This window comes from Homo sapiens, chromosome 2, assembly GCF_000001405.40.
Source record: "Homo sapiens chromosome 2, GRCh38.p14 Primary Assembly".
NCBI classification, from domain to species: domain Eukaryota; kingdom Metazoa; phylum Chordata; class Mammalia; order Primates; family Hominidae; genus Homo; species Homo sapiens.
In genome coordinates, this window is record NC_000002.12 from 61,099,216 (window position 1) to 61,125,107 (window position 25,892).

General features: G+C 39.5%; 1 protein-coding gene across 7 annotated transcripts in view; it reads left to right on the forward strand.

Annotated features, from left to right (window-relative positions):
* SANBR (SANT and BTB domain regulator of CSR) overlaps positions 1 to 25,892 on the forward strand; it is a 72,162-nt gene that overhangs the window by 33,345 nt on the left and 12,925 nt on the right. For 4 of the 7 annotated variants that reach the window (NM_001129993.3, NM_001330434.2, NM_001330432.2 and 1 more), the window contains 10 exons: positions 4,638 to 4,783; positions 7,348 to 7,447; positions 9,102 to 9,134; positions 9,982 to 10,081; positions 16,764 to 16,855; positions 18,142 to 18,170; positions 18,252 to 18,325; positions 18,813 to 18,901; positions 21,970 to 22,061; positions 22,911 to 25,065. In NM_001129993.3, coding sequence (NP_001123465.1) covers positions 4,638 to 4,783; positions 7,348 to 7,447; positions 9,102 to 9,134; positions 9,982 to 10,081; positions 16,764 to 16,855; positions 18,142 to 18,170; positions 18,252 to 18,325; positions 18,813 to 18,901; positions 21,970 to 22,061; positions 22,911 to 22,947 — 792 coding nt within the window. In that variant the 3' untranslated portion in view covers positions 22,948 to 25,065. Of the gene's footprint in view, positions 1 to 4,637; positions 4,784 to 7,347; positions 7,448 to 9,101; positions 9,135 to 9,981; positions 10,082 to 16,763; positions 16,856 to 18,141; positions 18,171 to 18,251; positions 18,326 to 18,812; positions 18,902 to 21,969; positions 22,062 to 22,910; positions 25,066 to 25,892 lie in introns of those variants that run through there. The other 3 variants (NM_001330433.2, NM_001330435.2, NM_032506.4) reach the window with 1 other exon arrangement.

The following is a 25,892-nucleotide window of genomic DNA, read 5'->3' on the forward strand; positions in this document are numbered from 1 at the left end:
TTCTTTTATCTCCATTTGGAAAATATCATTTGCAGTGTGGAAAATGCACACTTGAGGGGTAGTCAGTGGAATCACGTACAAAAGGAAGTTATCATAGAGAGAGCTGATGTTAGCTTGGACCAGAGCAGTGAAGATGAAGAGAAGTGGATGAATTTAATATTTAAGAGATAAAACTGAAATTACCTGACAGATTGTATTACAGAGGGAGAGGGGGAAGGATGACTCAGTTTCTAGTTGGTGCTACTGGATAGCTGGTGGTGCCATTCACTGAAGAGGAAGCAGCAGACGGAAATCAGGTTTCGAGGGAGACTCGTGAGTTCTGTTTTGGACATTTTGAGTTTGAGATGCTTTCTGAGATAACCAGGCAGAGGCCGTTAGATATATGAGTTTGGGAGCTCAGAGAAGTGGCTAGGCTGGAGATAATAACTCATAAGTTTTCTTGCAATAGATGATAGTTAAAGCCAGCAGGTATAGGTGAGTGTATGAAGAGCAGAGGGAAACTACAGCTATGGCTGGGTGAAGCAGCATGAGCCTGCAAAGGAGAATGGTCAGGGGCAGCCAGAATAATGGGAGGAAAATTGAGAATGTTGCCATGAAAGTTGAGGGAGTAATATTAAAGAAAGAGTGGACTGTGGTGCCTAATACTGCTAAGAGGTCAAATAAAATAATGAAAGAACTGTGTCCTTTGGCCTTAGTGACAGGGAATTCATAGGTGTGAAGAGCTATTTTGGTGGAGTGCTAGATCCAGAAGCCAGGTTTTTATGGGTTGAGAAGTGAGTGAGAGATAAACAAATGGGAACAGTATAAATGACATTTCTTTTGGGAAATTTGAGAAAGGGAGGAGATAGATTAGTAATTTAGGTTATGAATATTTGTTTAGTGTTTTGGGGGTTTTTCGTTTGTTTGTTTGAGAAGGAGTCTCGCTGTTGCCCCGGCTGGAATGCAATGGCACGATCTCAGCTCACTGCAACCTCTGCCTCCCGGGCTCAAGCGATTCTCCTGCGTCAGCCTCCCAAGTAGCTGGGATTACAGGCATGTGCCACCATGCCTGGCTAATTTTTGTATTCTTAGTAGAGATGGAGTCTCACCATATTGGCCAGGCTGGTCTCGAACTCCTGACCTCAAATGACCTGCCCATCTGGGCCTCCCAAAGTGCTGGAATACAGGTGTGAGCCACCGTGCCTGGCCTTGCTTCTGTTTTGATACCAGAGAACGTTTTAAAAGTCAGTGGGAAGGATCCAGTTGAGAAGGAGAGGTTGATGGTATAAGGTGAGAAGGCACGGTAGGGTGGGATCTTAAGCACATTTAGTGGTATTAATTTCGACAAGAGGGAGGACAGCTCCTCTATTATAACAGGAGAGAAGAGTAGAATGGTTGTAGATATTAGTAAAATTCTGTTTTTGTCATTTAGATGATAACTTAATTCCAATCCAATGCTTTTTCTGTTCTCTAAAAAGTAGATTAAGCCAGCCACTAAGAATAAGGGGGAAGACAGAAGGTTCCAGGGTTTGAGGGGAGTATGGAAGGTTTGAAATAGTATTTTGAAAAACAGGAGAGTGAATTTTCCAGAGAAAATGTATACTCCTGGGAAGTTTGAGAGCTCACTGGAGATTGGCAGTCATAAATTCACAATATAATTCAACATGCCTGTTTATATCACTCTCTCCAGTAACCCTTGTCTGCGTGAGTACAGGCAGGGAGAAGATGGGTAGTTGAGTTTATCTAGAGTTAGGATTTTGCCAGATGGGGATGATGAAATTTAGGGGCAAGGAATTTGGGATATTGGCGTGAATGTTACTGAATGATGGGTCATGGAATTTTAACTGCATTAGTTTTCTTATATTTGCAATCGGTCACCAACTTTGATTACTTAGAAGTTTTATTGGTGAGGTAATGGATTACTTACATAACATTCATACTTAAAGTTTTAGTTATATATTTTACATACAAAGATACTTAAATTGGGCATGAGACGTTAAGCAAAATTAGATTAGCTTTGCTAGACCCAAGATATTTCGTTAATTCATCATTGCTATTATGTTTGTTTCAGTAACATGATTTTTTAGTCTTTACAGTTCTTTCTAACCACATTAATTTCTAACCACATTAATTTCTACATTAATTTGTAACCACAAATTTACATTTGTGGTTAGTTTGTTTCCATTTTAGCTATCATATTTCTACATTGTTTCGAGCAAAATATATTTCTTTGTAGGCATCTTTAAAAGAATATATTGGCTGGGCGCTGTGGCTCACGCCTGTAATCCCAGCACTTTGGGAGGCTGAGGCGGGCGGATCACGAGGTCAGGAGATCAAGACCATCCTGGCTAACACGCTGAAACGCCTTCTCTACTAAAAATACAAAAAATTAGCCGGGCTTGGTGGCGGGCGCCTATAGTTCCAGCTACTCGGGAGGCTGAGGCAGGAGAATGGTGTGAACCTGGGAGGTGGAGCTTACAGTGAGCTGAGATCACTGCACGGCAGCCTGGGCAACAGAGCGAGACTCCGTCTGAAAAAAAAAAAATTGTATATATTAATAGGCCAGGCACAGTGGCTCAAGCCTGTAATCCCAGCACTTTGGGAGACTGAGATGGGCGGACCACCTGAGGTCAGGAGTTCAAGACCAGCCTGGCCAACATGGCGAAAACACTGTCTCTACTAAAAATACAAAAGTTAGCTGGGCATGGTGGTGGGCGCCTGTAATCCCAGCTACTCGGGAGGCAGGAGAATCGCTTGAATCCAGGAGGCGGAGGTTGCAGTGAGCCAGGATTGGACCATTGCACTCCAGCCTGGGTGACAGAGCAAGACTCCATCTCAAAAAAACCAAAATAGATATATAATGAATCTTTTGTCGATATATATGTTGCTCATATCCCGACTGGGCATGGTGGCTCACACCTGTAATCCCAGCACTTTGGGAGGCCGAGGCGGTCAGATCATGAGGTCAAGAGATCGAGACCACCCTGACTGACCAACATGGTGAAACCCCAGCTCTACTAAGAATACAAAAATTAGCTGGGCGTGGTGGTGTGCGCCTGTAGTCCCAGCTACTTGGGAGGCTGAGGCAGGAGAATTGCTTGAACCTGGGAGGCGGAGACCCGCGATCGTACCACTGCACTCTGGCCTAGCAACAGAGCAAGACTGTGTCTCAAAAAAAAAAAAAAAAAAAAAAAAAAATTGGAGAAAGACAACCGGCACTTCAGACAAAAAAACAGTTGTCCTGTAAACATGAAAAGGACAGCCTCATTTGTAACTGGAGAAATCCCAGCACAAATTAAAGCCAGAATGAATGCCAATACATATTTACCACAATGACTAAATTTTTTTTTTTTTTGAGGTGGAGTCTTGCTCTTGCTCTGTTGCCCAGACTGGAGTGTAGTGGCACCATGTTGGCTCACTGCAACCTCCGCCTCCTGGGCTTAAGCAATTCTCATGCCTCAGCCTCCTGAGTAGCTGGATTACAGGTGCGTGCCACCATGCCTGGCTAAATTTTTGTATTTTTATCGGAGACAGGGTTTCACCATGTTGGCCAGGCTGGTCTCGAACTCTTAGCCTCAAGTGATCTGCTTGCCTCAGCCTCCCAGAGTGCTGTGATTACAGGCATGAGCCACCACGCCGAGCCAGAATGACTAAAATTTAAATGTCTGACCAAGTGTTAGCAAGCATTTGGAGTAACAGGAATCCTCATATACTGCTGATGGTAATATAATTTGGTACACATGAGCACTTGTGTACTGAGAAACAGATAAAAGAATGTTCATAGTAATATTATTTTTAGTAGCCCCAAACTAGAAACAAGCCATCAGTGGTAGAAGAGTAAATAAATGGTGTATATTCATGCAGTGAAACACTATACATTAAAGCAAATATTATTATTACATGAAATAACATCATTGAATCATAAAAACATAATTTTTCTTTCTTTTTTTTTTTTTTTTGAGACAGGGTTTCACTCTATCGCCCAAGCTGGAGTGCAGTGGCCTGATCATGGCTAAAGGCAATCTCGACCTCCCTGAGCTGAAGTGATCCTCCCACCTCAGCTTCCTGAGGTAGCTGGGACTGGAGGCATGCACCACCACACCCAGCTAATTTTTTTCTTCCTTTTTAGAGACAGGGTTTTGCCATGTTGTCCAGGCTGATCTCAAACTCCTGGGCTCAAGCAATCCACACACCTTGGCCTCCCAAAGTGCTGGGATTATAGGCTTGAGCCACCTCACCCAGTAGAAACATAATGTCAAACAAAACAAGTGAGACTAAACTATAGTGTTTAGGAATGCATCCTTAAGTGGCAGAGGGATAAAGAAAAGCAAGGAAGTAATTACCACAAGCCAGGGTAGAGGTTACCTGTTGGGAGGAGGGAAACCGTTATGATCAGAATTGGGCCTGTGGGCACTCCTGGAGTGCTCGTAATGTTCTAATTCTTAATGTGGATTGTGATTATATGGGTATTCTTGGGTATTTGTTAAGCCATACAGTTATGATTGAATCTCTTTTCTGTATGAGGAATGTTTTTCTTGAGAAAAAGTTATAAAATATGTATATGACAATATGACTTGGCAAAGAAAAGAAAAACAGTGATCTTTAAAGGAGTGTTCTATAACAAACTAACCTCTAATTTATTGTCTCTTATGTGACAGGGCTGTAAAGTGAGGGACCACATGGTTACACTTCGTGATCAAGGTGAAGGCGGAGATTTGCCGTCCTGTCCCACTGCTAGAATGTTGGACGATTTGCACAAGTACAGAGATGTCATTGTTGTGCCTTTTTCAAAAGATACAGTTAGGTGAGGGGTGGAAAAACCCAACACTGTATTATAGCTTTATTCAGCAGTTCCCATTTCAGAATCCCTTATCCCCAAATCAGCAACGTCAGTCCTCAAGTAGTTTTCATTATTTCAGAAAACTTAACTGAAATTATATGTTAGCTTACAGTAAGAGCAGACAGATATTTATATGATAGGCAGCACACTTAAAAATACTGGAGGTGGCTGGGCGCGGTGGCTCACACCTGTAATCCCAGCACTTTCGGAGGCCAAGGCGGGCGGATCACGAGGTCAGGAGATCGAGAGCATCCTGGCTAACACAGTGAAACCCCATCTCTACTAAAACTACAAAAAATTAGCCGGGCGTGGTGGTGGGCACCTGTAGTCCCAGCTACTTGGGAGGCTGAGGCAGGAGAATGGCGTGAACCCGGGAGGTGGAGCTGGCAGTGAGCCAAGATCGTGCCACTGCACTCCAGCCTGGGTGACAGAGCAAAAAAAAAAGAGCAAAAAAAAAAAAGAAAAGAGCCCTTGGTGATTAAAAAGGTTAAGACCTTAAATCCAATGTGTGGTGGTGATGAATGAGGGTTCCCAAGTTGCTTGAGGCCCTCTCAACCAATTGATCAACCAGTTGATTGTATCAATCAATGCATGATTGATACAACTAGAAAAAAATATTGATGGCTGAGTTCATCTCTCCATGAGTATGAACTTCTCAAATTCAGTAATTTCTGAAGTCGCGTTCATCATTTTGCAATGGCAGCAGGTTGTAAGGTTAGAGGCTGGAGGACTCTTTAAAAGAGGCTGTTCTTAGCCAGGCACAGTGCCTCATGCCTTTAATCCCAGCACTTTGGGAGGCCGAGGCAGGCGGATCACTTGAGGTCAGGAGTTTGAGACCAGTCTGGCCAACATGGTGAAACCCCATGATCATTGATCAACCAATTGATTGTATCAATCAATGCATGATTGATCCAACTAGAAAAAAAATGTTGATGGTTGAGTTCATCTCTCCATGAGTTTGAACTCCTCGAATTCGGTAATTTCTGAAGTCACTTTCATCATTTTGCAGTGGCAGCAGGTTGTAAGGTTAGAGGCTGGAGGACACTTTAAAAGAGGCTGTTCTTAGCCAGGCGTGGTGGCTCACACCTTTAATCCCAGCACTTTGAGAGGCCGAGGCAGGCCGATCACTTGAGGTCAGGAGTTTGAGACCAGCCTGGCCAACATGGTGAAACCCCGTCTGTACTAACCAGGCATGGTGGCAGGTGCCTGTAATCCTAGCTATTTGAGAGGCTGAGGCAGGAGAAGTGCTTGAACCTGGGAGGCATAGGCTACAGTGAGCTGAGATTGTGCCACTGCATTCCAGCCTGGGTGACAGAGGGAGACTCCGTCTCAAAAAAAAAAAAGCATTTCAGTTGGAGTTTCGCTCTTGTTGCCCAGGCTGGAGTGCGGTGGCACAATCTTGGCTCACTGCAACCTCTGCCTCCCGGGTTCACGCCATTCTCCTGCCTCAGCCTCCCAAGTAGCTGGAATTAACAGCCACCCGCCACCACACCCAGCTAATTTTTGTATTTTTAGTAGAGACAGGGTTTCACCATGTTGACTAGGTTGGTCTCGAACTCGTGACCTCGTGAACCACCCGCCTCTGCCTCCTGAAGTGCTGGGATTACAGGCGTGAGCCACTGCGCCTGGCCGCACCCCCCTCCTTTCTTTTTTTTTGAGATGGAGTCTCGCTCTGTCACCAGGCTGGAGTGCAGTGGTGCGATCTCAGCTCACTGCAACCTCCGCCTCCCGGGTTCAAGCAATTGCCCTGCCTCAGCCTTTCAAGTAGCTAGGATTACAGGCATGTGCCACCATGCCTGGCTAATTTTTTGTATTTTAGTAGAGACAGGGTTTCGCCATGTTGGCCAATATGGTCTCAATCTCCTGACCTCGTGATCCGCCCGCCTCGGCCTCGCAAAGTGCTGGGATTAGAGGCGTGACCCACTGTGCCCAGCCAAGGCTGTTCTTAAAGCAGTACCAATTATAGCAGCCCATTCCACCACCTCATAGGTATGATGCGTCAAGTACAATGGTGCTTGCTGAATGGGGTGTCTTTTGCTAGAGGAATCACTGGACGAATTAAGAAATGTCATCGTTGGCTGGGCGCGGTGGCTCACACCTGTAATCCCAGCATTTTGGGAGCCAAGGCGGGTGGATCACCTGATGTCAAGAGTTCAGGACCAGCCTGGCCAACATGGTGAAACCCCGTTTCTACAAAAATACAAAAATTAGCCAGGCATGATGGTGGGTGCCTGTAATCCCAGCTACTCGGGAGGCTGAGGCAGGAGAATCGCTTGTACCCAGGAGGCAGAGGTTGCAGTGAGCCAAGATCATGCCATTGCCCTCCAGCCTGGGTGACAGAGCGAGACTCCATCTCAAAAAAAAAAAAAAAAAAAAAAAAGGAAATGTCATTGTTGACGTGATATCCTTATACTCAGGAACTGTATTTCTAAAAAGCGATTTTTGAAACATTTGTAATAAAAAGATATTCACATTTAAATTTTTAAGAAAGTAAACTCTTCTCCGTAAAAATGTCTTTTTCTTTCAAGTGATGTTGGGGTTGGCCTCTGTGATGAAAAGGGTATAGAATGTGATGTTTTACTGGAGCCAAATACACCATGGGGTCCCAAAACTGGGGAGCTCAATGCTGTGAGTAGTTTTTTTTCACTTATTCTTTATTTACATAAATAATTAATGACATTTAATCTTTGACAGGAACCTGATCAGTTTAAGTTGAAATTGAACTGACTACCTAATCATAAGAAGGTATTATGCCTAGTAATAGGACTCTAAGGGCAATAGGACACATTTCTTGCCCTCAAAGAATTAATAATGAATACATTTAAATTTAGGGAAAAAAACAACATGGGGCCAGCCACGGTGACTCAGACCTGTAATCCCAGCACTTTGGGAGGTTGAGGCAGGAAGATGGCTTGAGCCCAGGAGTTTGAGACCAGCCTGGGCAATATAGTGAGACCTCATCTCTACAAAAAAGGTTTAAAACTTAGCCAAGTGTGGTGCCTTGTGCCTGTAGTCCAAGTTTTGCTGGGAGGCTGAGGTGGGAAGATTGCTTAAGCCCAGGAGGCAGAGGTTGCAGTGAGCCGAGATCACACTACTGCACTCCACCCTGGGTGACAGAGGGAGACTCTGTCTCAAAAAAAAAAAAAGAAAAACCCAAAACATAACATGGTCTTTAAGGTTTTTATTATGGACAAATGATTTGAGGAATGAAGATAGCATGAATGGATATTTTGTTTCCTTCTGCTTCTGTAAACTTTTTTTGGCATAAAATTATCCTTTTATTGTAATTAGGAATATATTTAAATTCTTCAAAAGTTCCAGCCTGGAGTCTGGGTGACAGAGTGAGACCCTGTCTCAAAAAACAAACACACAAAAGTTTCAAAACTGAAATATTTTTAAAGTGACCAGAAAACTTGATTCCTTTGACTCCTTTTTATTCCTTTGCCTTTGTTACTAAGGACCAGGGAATATATTTGCCTATGAATGTTCTGTCTTTGTGTTGGTTAAGATAGCTTTTACTTGAGAAAGTGAAATATTCCCTGTGAAGTGCTTTATAAACTTCAGACAGCTATACAAATATTCAGTCATGCCGGGCATGGTGGTTCATGCTTGTAATCCCTGCACTTTGGGAGGCTGAGATCAGGAGTCCAAGACCAGTCTGGTCAAGATGGCGAAACCCTGTCTTTACTAAAAATACAAAATTTAGCTGGGCGCAGTGGCATGTGCCTGTAATCCCAGCTACTCGGGAGGCTAAAGCAGGAGAATCGCTTAAACCCAGAAGGCGGAGGTTGCAGTGAGTGGAGATCGTGTCACTGCACTCCAGCCTGGGTGACAGAGTGAGACTCTGTCTCAAAAAAAAAAAAAATTCACACATTAACATTTATTTATTAATTATATGTCAAACAACAAACTAGATTTATTGAATGTCCATATGTAGTCTGCTTCCTTAATTTATATTAAAATATAAACATTAAAAAGTGATTGAAATAGTTCTAAAAATAACTAAAATTATTTTAGTAATTTTCTTGTACGTGATTTACTTGTCCTTTGGAAATAATACTGGGAAAGTGTCTTTCTTTTAGAAAACATCCACATCCTCCTCTAGCAGAGGATATTAAAGACTGTAACATATCACTTTCAGCCTGAGTTTTAAATTATGTTTCAGCCTGGAAGGGAACTATATTTGTAACTTTTTTCAACTCTTCTACAGTATCTATATCAAAATAAGGAGCTGCAATCTAGGTAAATGCAGATTTATTAATCTCTTATTCCTGTCTTGTAGTTCTTGTCATTGAAAAACTGGACTCTACAACTGGTAAGTGAGCAATTACAGTTAGCATTCATGGATCTCTTTCTTCCTAAATTAAAGTTTAGTTTAATAGAATCTTATCAGTATCTTATTTTACAAATTTTAGTTAAATGTACATCTTCCTTTTCAGATTCTCCTATTTTGCACTTAAGTAAAAATGCCATTAAATTATTTAAGACAGACTCATATTCCATGTCTGGCTGCATAATCCATAGATCTAGTTAAACGATTTTTTAAAGTCACTCTTATGTCATATTTAGGACATTGAACAAAGCAACAAACTTGTTAAGTTCCAGTTATTTGATTGTTTGAGTGAAGGGTTGGCTTTTTTTTTTTTACCTGTTTGCCAGTACTATGCTGTCTGCCATCAATATTCACAAGAATGGAACAGGAATTTGGATTAGTGATAACAGACAGTAGGGCACAGAGATGCAGGAAAGTAATGCAGATATGGTTAAATAATCCAGGACCACATTCACCCAGAGAATGTGCATATGTGCTTGTTTATAAGACTACTTTAATATTGGTGGTTACTATATTGTAATTTAATCTTAATATCAAGGAATATACATTTACTTGAGTGATAGAGGTACAATTCAACAAATACTGAGTACTTATGTGCCTACTACTGTTCTAGGTTCTGTGAAGGAATTAAAAAATATATGAAGTAATGTAAGCCTGCTCCAAATATAAAAATTCTTATGTCTATTTCCTGGATATTGTGCTAGCCAGAGGTTATTTTATCAGCTCTTGATTGACTGATTCATTCAAAAGAAATTTAGGTAAATATGTTTGAAAGAATTCAATAAAAAATCATAATATTACATTTATAATAGATTTTTTTTTAACTTAGAAACAACAGTCACTGTTTTCAGAAGAAGAAGAATATACCACTGGATCTGAGGTCACTGAAGATGAAGTTGGAGATGAAGAAGAAGTATCCAAGAAACAAAGTATTGGTTTATAAGTTAAAATCAAATCTCCCTGTTTATGAAGGGGTTACATTCTGAAGCCTTTAATGCAAGGGATGGGGAATTGGTTTTATATAGAGAGTAGGTTGCAACATAGAAAAAAAATTGAAAGGAGACACCATCAAGATTTCCTAACCCGGGCATGAACACAAAATACTCAAAGCTGTAAAGAAAGGGCAGTACACTGAGAAAGAACTCTCCAGGTTTTCACTTCAGGTGCAACTAAATGTGTGACTCATTTCAGATGAAATGTGATCTGAGACGTGTAGCTGAGATGATTTGGAGTGATACTCAAATGAACCATTAAATAACATTCATCAATGTATGATTTTTTTTTTTAGTGGAAAGCATGTTTTTTTTGTGTTTGTTTTTTTTTTTTTTTTTTTGAGGCAGAGTCTCACTCTGTCACAGTGGCGCAATCTTGGCTCACTGCAACCTCTACTTCCTGGGTTCAAGCAATTCTCCTGCCTCAGTCTCCTGAGTAGCTCGGACTACTCAGCTAATTTTTCTGTATTTTTAATAGAGACGGGGTTTCACAATGTTGATCAGGCTGGTCTTGAACTCCTGACCTCAGATGATCCACCTGCCTCGGCCTCCCAAAGTGCTGGGATTACAGGCGTGAGCCACTGTGCTCGGCCGAGAGCATGGCTATTGTACAACTATAAAATTAACTTGTGTCAAAATTTCTGAACTCATTAGTTCCGAGAAACAGCAAGGAAAATTGGTTCAAAGAGACTTTGAAGACTCAAGTATTTATAGGCAATTATGAATCTGTTTTGTCACAATAATTTACCTCTTTTAGGATTTCATATGAATAGAATCATGAGTAATCTTTTGTCTCTGGCTTCTTTCTCTTAGTATAAGGTTTTTGAGATTCATTCATATTGTTTATTCCTTTTTATTGCAGAGTGGTATTCCATTATACTACTTTTGAAAAAAGAATGTTGGTCTGTGCGCAGTGGCTCATCCCTGTAATCCCAGCACTTTGGGAAGCCGAGGCAGGCAGATCACCTGAGGTCAGGAGTTCGAGAGCAGCCTGGCCAACATGGTGAAACCCTGTTGCTTCTAAAAATACAAAAATTAGGCCGGGCACGATGGCTCATGCCTGTAATCTCAGCACTTTAGGAGGCCGAGGCAGGCGGATCACCTGAGGTCAGGAGTTCAAGAGCAGCCTGGCCAACGTGGTGAAACCCGGTCTCTACAAAAATACAAAAATTAGCCGGGCATAATGACGGGTTCCTGTAATCCCAGCTATTTGGGAGGCTGAGGTGGGAGAACTGCTTGAACCCGCAAGGCGGAGGTTGCAGTGAGCCAAGATTGTGCCATTGCACTCCAGCCTGGGCGACACAGCGAGACTCTGTCTCAAAAAAAAAAAATACAAAACTTAGCTGGGCATGGTGGCAGGTGCGTGTAATCACAGCTACTCAGGAGGCTGAGGCAGGAGAATCACTTGAACCCAGGAAGGGGAGGTTGCAGTGAGCCGAGACCATCCCATTGCACTCCAGCCTGGGCAATCAGAGTGAAACTCCATCTAAAAAAAAAAAAAGTTAAAAGAAGATTGTAAGTTAGATACAAAATTGATCAGTGTCATACAACTTAGTGAACCCGTAACTCTTAGGTTATCTTTTTAGAAATAATTTGCATTTTTATTAGACACAAAAACCTGAAAGTTAACATGTAACTTTCAGATGCCATCAGTAGATGGTAGTCAGACATGGGACATTCTCTTAGAGAATTGAATGATTCTTGAGTAGGCATGTTAAACAACCCTCCAATGACATTGAAAAAACATGCTGCAGCCAGGCGCAGTGGCTCACACCTGTAATCCCAGCACTTTGGGAGGCCGAGGCGGGCGGATCACGAGCTCAGAAGATCGAGACCATCCTGGCTAACACAGTGAAACCCCTTCTCTATTAAAAATACAAAAAATTAGCCAGGCGTGGTGGCGGGCACCTGTAGTCCCAGCTACTCGGGAGGCTGAGGCAGGAAAATGGTGTGAACCTGGGAGGCGGAGCTTGCAGTGAGCCGAGATTGTGCCACTGCACTCCAGCCTGTGCGACAGAGCGAGACTCCGTCTCAAAAAAAAGAAAAGAAAAAACATGCTGCCTTCCCTTTATCTTCTCTCCAAGTTTTACGTAATTTTTCTTAACATCTCGAATCCTCCAATGAAAAAGCTGGTTCTTTAGCAATTTTGTGTCCATTTTAATTAGTAAAGGAGAAAATTCTACAATGTTTCTTTTCAACAGTTTGATTGAGGTATAAGTTATATGTTACAAAATTCACCCATTTTAAGTGTACATGTAGATGAGTTTTGGCACACAGATGTGTAACCACCACCAAAATAAAAATCTAGAACATCATTTCAAAAAGTTCCTTCGTCCCCCTTTGTACTCAGTTCCCTTTCTCCAGTTCTGCTCTCAGGCAACCATGAATCTGTTTTGTCAAAACAATTTACCTTTCTTAGGGTTTCATATGAATGGAATCATGAGTAGTTTTTTGTTCCTGGCTTCTTTCACTTAGTATGAGGTTTTTGAGATTCATCCATATTATTGCATGTGTCAGTAGTTTATTCCTTTTTATTGCAGAGTAGTATTCCATTGTATGGCTATACCATACTTTGTTTATCCATTCCCAATTTCATGGGCATATGGGTGCTTTCCTCTTGTTGGCTGTTGTGAATAATGCTGCTGTGAACATTTGCATACAAGTCTGTGTGGACATGTGTTTTCATTTTTCTTGAGTAGATACTTAGGAGTGAAATTACTAGATCATATGGTAAGTGTATGTTTCACTTTATAAGAAACTGCCAAATTGTTTTGCAAAGTGGCCGTTTTGCATCTCTACAAGCAGTGGAGCAGTCCCACCACTGTGCATTCCCACCAGTAGTGTATGAGAGTTCCAGTTGCTGCACATTCACATCAATACTTGGTATTATTGGTCTTTTTAATTTTAGCCATTCTAGTGGGTAGATAGTGTTAAGCAACTTTTCATGTTTTTACTGACCATTTATATATCTTTTTTATGAAGTGTTTGTTTAAATCTTTGGCCCATTTTTATTGGATCATTTGCCTTATTATTGAATTGTAAGATTTCTTTGTATATACTTTAGATCTAAGTCTTTTTTGTCAGCCATATGTTTCTCAATATTTCCCCTAGTCTATGCCTTGCCTTTTAATTTTCTTTTTTTTTTCTTTTTTTTTGAGATAGAGTCTTGTTCTGTCATCCAGGCTGGAGTGTAGAGGTGCGATCTCTCACTGCAACCTCTGCCTCCTGGGTTCCAGCGATTCTTCTGCCTCAGCCTCCCGAGTAGCTGGGATTACAGGTGTGCACCACCACACTGGGCTACTTTTTGTATTTTTAGTAGAGATGGGGTTTTGCCATGTTGGCGGAGCTGGTCTCGAACTCCTGACCTCAGGTGATCCGCCTGCCTCGGCCTCCCAACTGCTGGGATTACAGGCATGAGCCACCTCACCAGGCCTAATTTTCTTAATGATGTATTTTGAAGAGCTAAAGTTTTAAATTTTGTGAATTCTAATTTTTTAGTTTTTCCTTTTTATGTTCCATTATTTAATAGCTAAGAAGTATTTGCCTACCTCAAAGTCACAAAGATTTTCTGCTGTGTTTTCTTCTAGAAGTTGTATGATTTTAGCTTTTTATTTAAGATTATGATCCCATTCAGGTTAATTTTTTTGTATGAGTTAAGGGTCAAGCTTCCTTTTTTTCCATAGGCATAGCCGGTTGTTCCAGCACCGTTTATTGAAAAGACTATTCTGTTCTAACATATTGGATTACCTTGGCATGTTAAAAATCGGTTGACCATTTACATGTGGCCCCATTTCCAAACTGTGTTTTCTTCCATTGATTCTTATGTCTTTCTTTACATCAGCATATCAATACCACACTGTTAATTTTTGTAGATTTTAGTGAGTCTTGAAACCTGGTGGTGTGAGTCCTCCAAAATTATTCTTTAATTTTAAATTATTTTGGCCTTTCAAGGTACGTTGCATTTTCTACAAATTTTAGAGTCTGTGTGGATATTTCTACAAATATCTTTTTGGGATTTTTGTTGGGATTGTGTTGAACCCATATACCAATTTGGGGTGAATTCCTTTTTTTTCCAATGGCAGTTCTTCCCATCCATGAACATGGAATATCTCTCCATTTATATAGGACTTCTTTAATGTCTCTCAACAATGTTTTGTAGTTTCAGTGTACAGGTGTTGAACATCTTTTGTTAAATTTATTCCTCCGTGTTTTTATGCTATTATAAATGGAGTTGTTTTTCCGGTTGCTCATTGATGGTAATACTAATGATGGTCAAAATACAATTGATGTTTGTATATTGACTTTGTGTCCTGTGACCTTGCTAAATTCAGTTATTTGCTCTTCATTTATTAGATTTCATTCCAATCTGTATACCTTTTATTTATATGTCTTGCCTTTTGTGCTGGTTAGGACCTGATATTGAATAGAAGTGGTGAAAACAGACAGACATCCTTACCTTGTCTGATGGGGAAAACATCCAGTCTTTAATCGTTAAGTATGTAATGTCAGTTGTCAGCTTCCCATAAATGTCCTTTCTCAGTTGAGAAAGTTCCTTTCTGTTTCTATTTTGCTGAGTTTTTATAGCGAATAGGTGTTGCATTTTATCACATGCTTTTTCTCCATCTATTGAGAAGATCATATAGATGTTCTCCTTTATTGTATCAATTAGGTACATTGATTGATTTTTCACGTTATACCAGTATTCTGGTGTAAACTCCACTTGGTCATTTGTTACTCTTTTTATATATCACTGCAGGAGTCTGATCCACAGATCCTGACCCAACGACAGATGAATAACTTACACTGACACAGATATTATGCTTGTCTGTCTGGCTGAGAGTCTGGGCCGCTTACAGACTCCCAGGAGAGTGCTGTAAAGAGTTGCAGCCGCGACCCAGACTTGCTGGCCTTCCCAGCATTTATTCAGCACACATTAAACGACAAAAGTCTCAAGTAAATGCCACTAGAATGTAATTACCGTTGCCAACCCACTTAGTAGAGAGCAATCATGCACCCACAGATTGTCAACGGTTAGTCTTAGAACCACATGAGTAAACAAGCTATTTAGATAGACTGCTCTACATTCCTATGTTAATTACCCTTGCTATAGCTCAAAGAGGATTAGGCTGCCTTCAGCCATAACTCTATCCTGAGGCTTCTGCAAAAACCTTCTGGCCTTCTAAGAAAGTTTATTTTACAGTTTTTCCCACCATCCTGACTGAACTCCTACATCTCACTGCATTGGACTTGCATATATATATGTGTGTATCTATGTATATATACATGCATGTGTATATACACATACATATATTTTTGAGACAGGGGCTCTCTGTTGCCCAGGCTTCAATGCCGTGTCGTGATCACAGCTCACTGCAGCCTCGACCTCCCAAGGCTCAAGCAGTTCTCCCACCCAAGCCTCCTGAGTAGCTGGGACCACAGGTGTGCACCACCATGCCCAGCTAATCTTTAAGATTTTTTGTAGAGACAAGGTCTCCTTATATTGCCCAGGATGTTCTTGAACTCCTAGCCACAAGCAATCCTCCTACCTCGGCCTCCCAAAGTGGTAGGATTACAGGTGTGAGCCACCATGCCTGGGCTTACTTGCTAATATTTTGTTAAGGATTTTTTGTTTCTGTTCATGAGAGATATTTGTAGTTTTCTTCTTATGTATTTTTCAGGTTTTGATATCAGAGTCATGATGACATTAGAAAATGAGTGACATCACCCCCTTTTCTGAAAGAGTTTGTGTAGGATTTGTATTGTTTCTCCCTTAAAAGAATAATAAAATTCAGTGAAGCCATATGGGCCTGGAGCTTTTGTTATAGGAAGGCTTTAAATTATGAATTCACTTTCATTAGTTAATAGATGCTATTCAAGTTTTCTATTGCCTCTTCAATTTGTTTTGATAATTTCTGTCTTTCAAGGAATTTTATCCAGTTTGTCAGATTTATTGGCATAAAGTCACTCATCGTATATATATATATATATTTTTTTTTTGAGACAGAGTCTCGCTCTATCACCAGGCTGAAATGGCACAATCTCGGCTCACTGCAACCTCTACCTCCTGGGTTCAAGTGATTCTTGTGCCTCAGTCTCCCGAATAGCTGGGATTACAGGCATGCACCACCATACTTGGCTAATTTTTGTACTTTTAGTATAAATGTAAATGTGCCTAATTATAAAGCCCTAAAATATACAAAGCAAAAACAGACAAATCTGTAAGGAAAAATACACAGATTACCACTTATAGCTAGAGATTTCAATACTTCTTTCTTACAGCTACTTGGGAGGCCGAGGCACGAGAATCGCTTAAACCGTTGAAGCAGAGATTGCAGTGAGCCGAGATCATGCCACTGCACTCCAGCATGGGTGACAGAACAAGACTCTGTCTCAAAAAAAAAGAAAAAGAAAATGAACCCCTGTAAAGCAATTTCAGCTTATGAACCCCTGTAAAGCAATTTCAGCTTTGCTTCATGGTATATTTGCTTTCTATCCAGAGGTTAATTTGTTAGTTTTCTTAAAACAATGTTTTTCTTAATGGTCTTATTGTTTAGAAGTAACAAGTGGACTGGAAAAGTATATGGGGCCTAAGTTTATAACATTGTCTTCTCATTATCAGGGAAAAAGGAGAAGCCAAAGAAGTTCACTAGACAACCAAAAAAGCAGGTATCTTCACCCTGTGCCCAGAGGAAAGAAAAGGCATTGGAGAAGGTAACTCTGAATTATCTGTTGTTAAAGTTCATATGGAAAAATAAGCATGTGAGTATAGCCAGAAAAAAATAAAAAGAGTAATGAAGACACATGGAATGCTAGCAATGTAAAAATGAAGTTTTTTATAGACTGAGATTAAAGATCTCTAAGATATATTGACAAATGAGAAAAGGAAGGTGCAGAAACGTATAGTGGTATAGTATGCTACCATTTGTGTAAAGTAGATGGGGGAAATATATAAATAACTTCCTTGTATATGCATAAAATGTTTCTGGAAGGCTACATAAGAACTCGATAAAATTGGTTGCCTCTCAGGAAGGGAACTGAACGTGTAAGGGACAGAAGTGAGAGTCTTTTCATTATATGTGCCATTATACCTTTTGAATTTTAAACCAATATTATTTATTCAAAAAATTAAAAATAGTCTTTTAAATTAAAAATAAATCATATTTTATGATATTTAAAAATAATTCTTATTTCTCCATGCCTTTGAAGGAAGGGGTAAAAAAGCCAGGTAGGAATAAGAGAATAGTAATAACCACCATTGGCTAAAAGAAAAACTGTGAATTTCAAAAATGTGTGATAGGTTGAGTCTGGGTTAAGATCCACAGAATTACATTGGACACATTGTACATTCATCTTTGTGTTAAGTAGCACAGGCATATAAGTGGGTTAATTCTAAAAAAAAATTGTATCAGCTGGCTGGGCATGATCACTCATGCCTGTAATCCTAGCACTTTGGGAGGTCAAAGTGGGTGGATTGCTTGAGCCCAAGAGTTTGAGACCAGCCTGGGCAACATGGCAAAACCCCATTTCTACTAAAAAAAAATACAAAAATTAGCCAGGTATGGTGGCACACACCTGTAGTCCCAGCTACTCAGGAGGCTGAGGTGCGAGGATCACTTGAGACCAGGAAGTCGAGGCTGCAGTGAGCTATAATCATGCCACTGCACTCCAGCCTGGGCAACAGAGTGAGACCCTGTCTTCAAAAAAAAAAAAAATTGCATAAGCTGGGATTCCAAGGTTAACAAATGAAGCTGGATTCAAATTCTAGGTCTGTATCTCTTTGGAGAAGTTTCTTAACTTCTCTGAACCTGTTTTATTATGAAGATATTAATAGTGCCTGTCTCATTTGGTTGGTGCAAGGTTTAAATGAAATAGCACTTGTAATGCTCTTGGTACAGTGTCTTCACACTCAGTAAGAGTGAACTCTTTTTATTACTAACTATAGCACTAATCAGTAAACATGTTCTAATTGGGCCTTAATGTTGTCTACTTTTTTTTAGTCAGCTTCTAGAGATGTGTCTCCTTTCGTGTGAGTATTGCTCCTTAATCCAATCGGATATCCACTCTTAAAGAAGCATCAATGCTGATTTTTGTTCAATTTTTTCAATAGTATGAGTATGCAGAAGAATAAGTGGGATGCCACAAGATCCTTGAGATTCAACCAGGATGCACAAAGAGAAGACGGTAAATTTTATTATTTGGGTAATGTACAAATTGGATGTAAATAGCAATGATTGGTGTGTGTTTCATTTTATACAGTATGCTGAATAGCTCTAGAGTTTCTAGCTAAAGTAAGGCCCCAAATTTGCATATTCCCTTAGGCAACAACCAGAGTTTCATTACTAGACAACCCCACTGAATAATGTATTATTTTATGCATCTGTGGTTTTGAGATCATTCACATTGACCTTTGCCCATTATTTTCACCATAAAGATGACTGAATATGTTTTAGGCTGTTTTATGGTAATCTAAAAAGCAGCACAATTATCCACAGATGAGTCATCTGCCACTTGCTAACTTAAATTCTTCACAGATATATAGATGTATGTGTCTGTAAAATAGTATCAAAGGATATTTTCATAAACCCTAGGTGATTACAGTCTTTTTGAGAAATAAAAAGTTATATATCATCCTTATGAAAAGTAAAGTTTACTGTTTTTTTCCCTTCAGATCAACGGCGAATGACTGAAATTACAGGGCACCTAATAAAAATGAGATTGGGGGATCTGGACCGAGTCAAGTCAAAGGAAGCAAAAGAAGTAAGAATTGTGTACTAGTGTATTGTACTTGTGTAAAATATGCCTTCCTACTTTTATTTTCAGCTTAGGATTATAAAGATGTCTTAGGCAGAATTTTAAAAGAGTAATTTATGTGTTTGTTTGTTTGTTTGTTTTTTTCTTTGAGATGGAGTTTTGCTCTTGTTGCCCAGGCTGGAATGCAGTGGTGCAATCTCGGCTCACTGCAACCTTCGCCTCATGGGTTCAAGCAATTCTCCTCCCTCAGCCTCCCAAATAGCTGGGTTACAGGCATGCACCACCATGCGCAGCTGATTTTTTTGTATTTAGTAGAGATGGGGTTTCACCATGTTGGTCAGGCTGGTCTCGAACTCCTGACCTCAGGTGATCCACCCACTTTGGCCTCCCAAAGTGCTGGGATTACAGGCGTGAGCCACCACACCTGGCCAAATATATGTGGGGGTTTTTTGTTGGTTTTTTTTTTTTTTTTTTTTTGAGATGGAGTCTCACTCACTGAGACTTGCAGTGGTGCCATCTCGGCTCACTGCAACCTCCACCTCCCAGGTTCAAGTGATTCTCCTGCCTCAGCCTCCCAAGTAGCTGGGACTACAGGCATGCACCACCATGCCCGGCTAATTTTTTCATTTTTAGTAGAGACGGGGTTTCACCATGTTGGCCAGGCTGGTCTTGAGCTTTTGACCTCGTGATCTGCCCGCCTCAGCCTCCTAAAGTACTGGGATTATAGGCGTGAGCCACAATGCCTGGCCACATTTATGTATTTTTTTATATTCTGTATCAGTTAGCCTGTTTATTCACGTAAAAGTTTTCCACCATGTCTTATTATCCATGGTCCATAGGTCATCTATAACACATATAATAAAGTACATCATTGCTGAAAATGTGTCATCACACCAAGAGTAGGTTAACTGTGCGTTGTTGACCAAATGCTAACTATCCAGCAGGCGACTGTCTGAAAGTACCAATTTTCATCAACTCTGCATGTAGTGCTTAGATGTCATCTCTAAAATAAGATGTCATCTTGCTGAAAATGGTGACAAGAAACACCTATATTCTTGCTAGAATTACATTTTAGTCATGACATTATGTATTATCATTAGTATTGGTATTATGTAAGTACCATACTCTTGCCCTAATTCTTTTATTTAAAAATTTACTTCCCTATAAAACTTCTAAAAGGAAACATAGGAGAAAATATTTGTGACCTTAGGAAAATATTTCTTAGCCTACAACACCAAAAGCATGATCCATAAATGAAAAATTGGACTTCATCAGCATTTAAAATTTCTACTTTTCAAAAGACACTATTTAGACAATGAAAAGACAAGCCATAAACTATGAGAAAATATGTGTAAAACACCTGATAAGGAATGTGTATCCAGAATCTATAAAGAACTCTCAAAACTCAATAATAAAATTTAAAAACCTAATAAAAATAAATGGGCAAAAGAGTAAACAGACACCATGAAAAAAAGGATTTCCATGCCAGATAAGCATATATCATTAGATGTGCTAAGATACAACATCATTAGTCCTTAGGGAAATGTAAATTAAAACCTAAATGAGGCCGGATACAGTGGCTCACACCTGTAATCCCAGCACTTTGGGAGGCCAAGGTGGAAGGATCACTTGAACCCACGAGTTTGAGACCAGCCTGGGCGACATGATGAAACCCTATCTCTACAAAAAAAAGTAACAAAAATTAGCCAGGTATGGTGGTGGATGCCTGTAGTCCCAGCTACTAGCGAGACTGAAGTAGGAGGATCGCTTGAGCCTGGGAGGCAGAAGTTGCAATGAGCCAAGAGCACGCCACTACACTCCTGCCTGGGCAACAGAACGAGACCCTGTCTCCAAAGGGAAAAACCCATACCAAGTGCTGATGAGGATGTGGAGCAACTGGAACTCTCATATATAGCTAGTAGAAATGCAAAAAGGAATGGTCACTTTGGAAAATAGTTTGGCAATTTCTTATAGACATTCCCTCACCATACAGATCAATTCACACATTTTTATAATAGCTTTATTCATAATTGCTAAAAACTAGAAATACTATAAATGATGTCCTTTACCTGGTAAATGGGAAAACAAACTGCATATAAAAAGAACATTGGACCGGGTGCAGTGGCTCACACCTGTAATCCCAGCACTTTGGGAGGCCAAGGCGGGCGGATCACAAAGTCAAGAGATCAAGACCATCTGGCCAACATGGTGAAACCCCGTCTCCACTAAAAATACAAAAATTAGCTGGGCGTGGTGGTGCAGGCCTGTAATCCCATCTACTCAGGAGGCTGAGGCAGGAGAATCACTTGAACCCGGAAGGTTGAGGTTGCAGTGAGCCAAGATCGTGCCACTGCACTCTAGCCTGGGCAACACAGAGCGATACTCCATCTCAAAAAGAACATTGAGCCCAGGAATTCAAGACCAGCCTGGGCAACATAGGGAGATTCTGTTTCTACAAAAAATAAGAAATTAATTGGGCATGGTGGTGCACACCTGTGAGGTCTCAGCTCCTCTGGAGGCTGAGGTAGGAGGATCACCCAGGAGGTCAGGGCTGCAGTAAGCCTTGATCGCACCACTGCACTCCAGCCTGGCTGACAGAGTGAGATGCTGTCTCCAAAAAAAAGGAACAAACTTCTGATGTATGCATCAATATGGATGAATCTCCTATATGTGAAAGAAGCTAGATTCAAGTGGCTACATGTTATATGATTCTACTTATATAATGTTCTGGAAAATGCAAAACTATGGGGATAGAAAACAGACAAATAGTTGCCAGAAATTGGTAGTGGTAGGTAGATCGACTTGACAGGGGAACAAGGGAATTTTCTTGGGGGTGATAGGACTATTTTCTGTGTCTTCATTGTGACAGTAGTTATAAAACTGTATGCATTTGTCAAAACCCACACCTGTACACTAAAATGGTACATTTTTCTTTATGTAAATTAAACCTCAAAAAGACTGGATTTAAAAAATCAAAATAAAATTACTTCTAAATTAAAAAGTAATCCCATTTTAATAAAGCAGAGCTTCTATTGATTCTGTGAAGATAACAGTATTGCTTCTTTATTCTGCAGTTTGCAGGAGGTATTTATTCCAGGCTGGAAGCACAAATCAAGGCCTCAGTGCCAGTTAGTGCACGCCAAAGCAGCTCAGAGAAAAACACAAGGTAAATCAGCATAAACTAAACCAGAGTGTCAGTGGCTTTGAAGTGAATTTTTTTTTTAAGATAAATCATATGAACACTAGAAACATATCATTTGAGTTTGGTTTTATGTTTTGTTTCAATGATTATATTATCAAGGCACTAATTAGAAACAGATTTTAACTTAAAAGATAAAATCTAATGAAAATATAGCTTTGTGGATTTTTTAAAGTTTTCTGCTTGTTGGACTAGCTTCATTCTGAGCCAACTCCTGATAAAAATGTAAGCTATAGTGCTACTGGAAGTAGCAGAATTTTTGTACTGTTTGTAGATCACATATTAATACTTTATATAAATCACTGTAATCTTTACCACTCCTTGCTTTATATTTTATTTCTCTTAATAAAATCTAACTGATGGGTCTTATGTCATTTTACATCACAAATTTTCTGTTAGAGATTAACAGTTACTGAGATTTGAACATTAATATTACAGATTCTAATTCCTTATTTATGATTCTGAAATCCAGAAAGTTCAAAAAGCTGAAAGTGTTTTCATACATTTGTAGCAATTCAAACTTGCACTGAGCTGCTGTGATACCATTTATATTTTTTATTCATCCCACTTATATTTGATTATGGGGCACTGCTCCAGATCCATTATATACAATGTACATAACGTATTATCTCTGAGAAGTAACAAATCTCAATTCCAAAAATACATCTCCTGTTAAGAGTTTTAGAAAATGGATTACGGAGCTGCAAGAAGATTTATTAAACCTTGATGTTGCCAAGCCAACATAATCTAAAGGAGCACCAACTTCCTATTGTTTTAGAAGCAATTCTGACCTCCTTTTCTGTTTAAAAAATCTAGGTCTAAAAGTCGTTTTGGTCAAGGGCGTCCTGCATAAAGTACCTTAAAATATAAGTAAAAAGAGAGAAGGCACTCTTCTGGACATCTGAAATTGCTCACTTCTTGAAGATCTTCAGAACAATGACTTCCAACTGTTTTATGTTATTATTATTTTAATCCACATAAATCATAATTCTAAAAGAAATGCATAGTTAGGTTTTATGAAAATCTAATTGTAAATATGAAACTTTTTAAATCTGATTTTCTTCTAATATCATTCTAGGCTATGTAGAAAGCAATTATTTACAAATTTGCATAGTTGAGACTCCCAGTGTTTTCCTTTATTTATTTGAAAAAGAAAGGCCTAAACTGTCAGGTAGCCAAGTTTTTTTAAGACCTTAAAAGTTAGGGGAACACAACTGGTAGTGTTACCATGCATGGCACTGATTGTAGTATGTCTTTGGAGCTGTAAATCTTGAGATAGCATTGAGAACTGCAGGTTGTGTGACGAAATTCCCAATGATGCTAATTTTAAGTCTGCATGAATATTAAGGAGTGACAGGTCTCAAGACTGCATTAAATGAAGTTTCAGGGTAAGGTATTTCAGTACTGTGTTGGGCAGAAGGGTTAATTTTTTTCAGCATTATATCGTGGAAAGTACAATGTTAATCCAACTTTTTTTTCTTTCAGTTTTTAATGCTTATCTATTGATCATCTGAGCTGGAATTACTGATTATTACTCTGTCCTCTGTGAAACTAGTGGCATTCTGAATTTGGTAAAATAACCATTGATAGTTTTAGGATAGTAAATCATTTCTGTTATATGAGACACCCACTGTACAGTTCTCAGGGCTCTAAAACCCAACCATATTTCTGTAACCATTCAAATAACTCCTTAAAACAGTTATACTTGCTAGTTCGGTCTAAAATTTTCCAAATACATTAGATAGGTGAAAATTTGCATATATTCAAGAAAAATCAAAATAAAATTCTATTTTATAAATCATGTTTAAATTTTTCTAGCCAGGCAGAAAGAGTGCTCAGGGAAAATTTGTTCCAAACTATAACCATATAATAAATTATGTGTTTGTAAATTATATGTAGGTCTCTGAAAAACTTTAAGATGCACTGTTTCTATTTTTTTAAGTCTTAATTTGCCTTATAACTGACATTTCTTCAAATTATTCAGAGAACAGACTTTAATAATGTGTGACAAAAGAGCAATTTCCATTGAAATATTGAAGTGTTACACTCAGTTTACACGTACAGAAATCATTCTTTTTAGTGAGTCTTTTAGTTGATAAATGAAGCTAGATGTTATTTGATAACTGGCTTTGCCAAGGTTTTTGAACTGCTGTTTAGAAATTTTGTTCCCATTTATATTTGTTTCAATTGTTTGATACTGTGGAAATAGACTTTTATTTTCGAAAGAAAATGTCTTGTAGTACATATTATATGTAAGTACTCTGTTAAATACCAGAGTTTTTTTTGTAGTTTACTGTGTTTTCTGATTAAAGGATTTGGATTTGTACATGTAAACAGTGCTGTAATGGTCACGACTAGATAAGGAAAAAATATATATGCTCTTTTGATTTTTAACTGATGGTAAAAAGGCAAACTGCTTCTCCCCTGGGAGGCCTATACCACTGAATTAATTTTTACAAACCAGAGTTTATCAGAATTTGATTCTCTTCAGAATGCTTTTGGCCAGGTGTAGTGGCTCACGCCAGTAATCCCAGCACTTTGGGAGGCCGAGGCGGGCAGATCACCTGAGGTCAGGAGTTTGAGACCAGCCTGGCCAACGTGGTGAAACCCTATCTCTACTAAAAATACAAAAAGATTAGCCAGGCATGGTGGCATACACCTGTAGTCCCAGCTACTCGGGAGGCTGAGGCACAAGAATTGTTTGAACCCGGGTGGCAGAGGTTGCAGTGAGCTGAGATCATGTTTCTGCGCTCCTAGCCTGGGTGACAGAGCAAGACTCCATCTCAATTTAAAACAAAAAAAGAATGTGTTTTTAATTTTGTTAATGTTTGTCTGTTATACATAGCACTGGTACCGCAAACATTTTACTTAAACTCTTAATAGCATTTCTTTCGCCAGATACTTTAATATTTCACCTTACATTAATCCTGGATTCACATTTCTTTAATTGAAATAAATGTTAATGACAAAAGTTGTTTGGAAAGTCTCTTTATCTGAATTATTCCATCTTCTCAGAAAAAAAGTCTGGAGTAGCTCTAGATTCCACAGGTTTTCATGGAAAATTATCTCTGCTACAAGGTGAAATTTTTGAGTTTTAAGATTATTTTAGGCCAGGCACAGTGGCTTACGTCTGCAATCCCAGCACTTTTGGAGGCCAAGGCAGGAGGATTGCTTGAGCCCAGGAGTTCAAGATCAGCCTGGGCAACATAGTGAGACCTCGTCTCTACAAAAATAAAAATTAAAAAAATTAACCTGGCATGGTGGCACACACCTGTGGTCCCAGCTATTAGGGAGGCTGAGGTGGAAGAATTGCTTGAGCCTGAGAGTGCAAGGCTTCAGTGAGCCATGATTGTGCCACTGCACTCCAGCCTGTGCAGCAGAACAAGACCCTATCAAAAAAAAAAAAAAAGATTATTTTAAATGAGGTTATGCTGGTAAAGATTTATTAAACATTTAAGGGTTAAAATATTTCAGAAAAGATGATCTGATAACAATGCTGATTGTACACAATTGCATTTATTTGTTACTTTCCTTCTTCACAATACTCAGCCAGGTACTGTGAGATGTGCTTATTGCTTTGGAAGCTGAGGCTGAAGCTCTGTCAAGCTTGTCTACTAAAGGCACGTTATAATATAAAAAGAAACCAAAAAAAATGTATTTTGTGTTTAATTCCTGGAATTAATTCTGCAGCCAACCTTCAGCTATTCACTGAGCAACTGTGTCACACTTCTCAGGACTGGGATAGCTAGCCAGTTTAATTCTAATAGGCTAACTCTCTTTCTCCTATTTAAAGCTGAT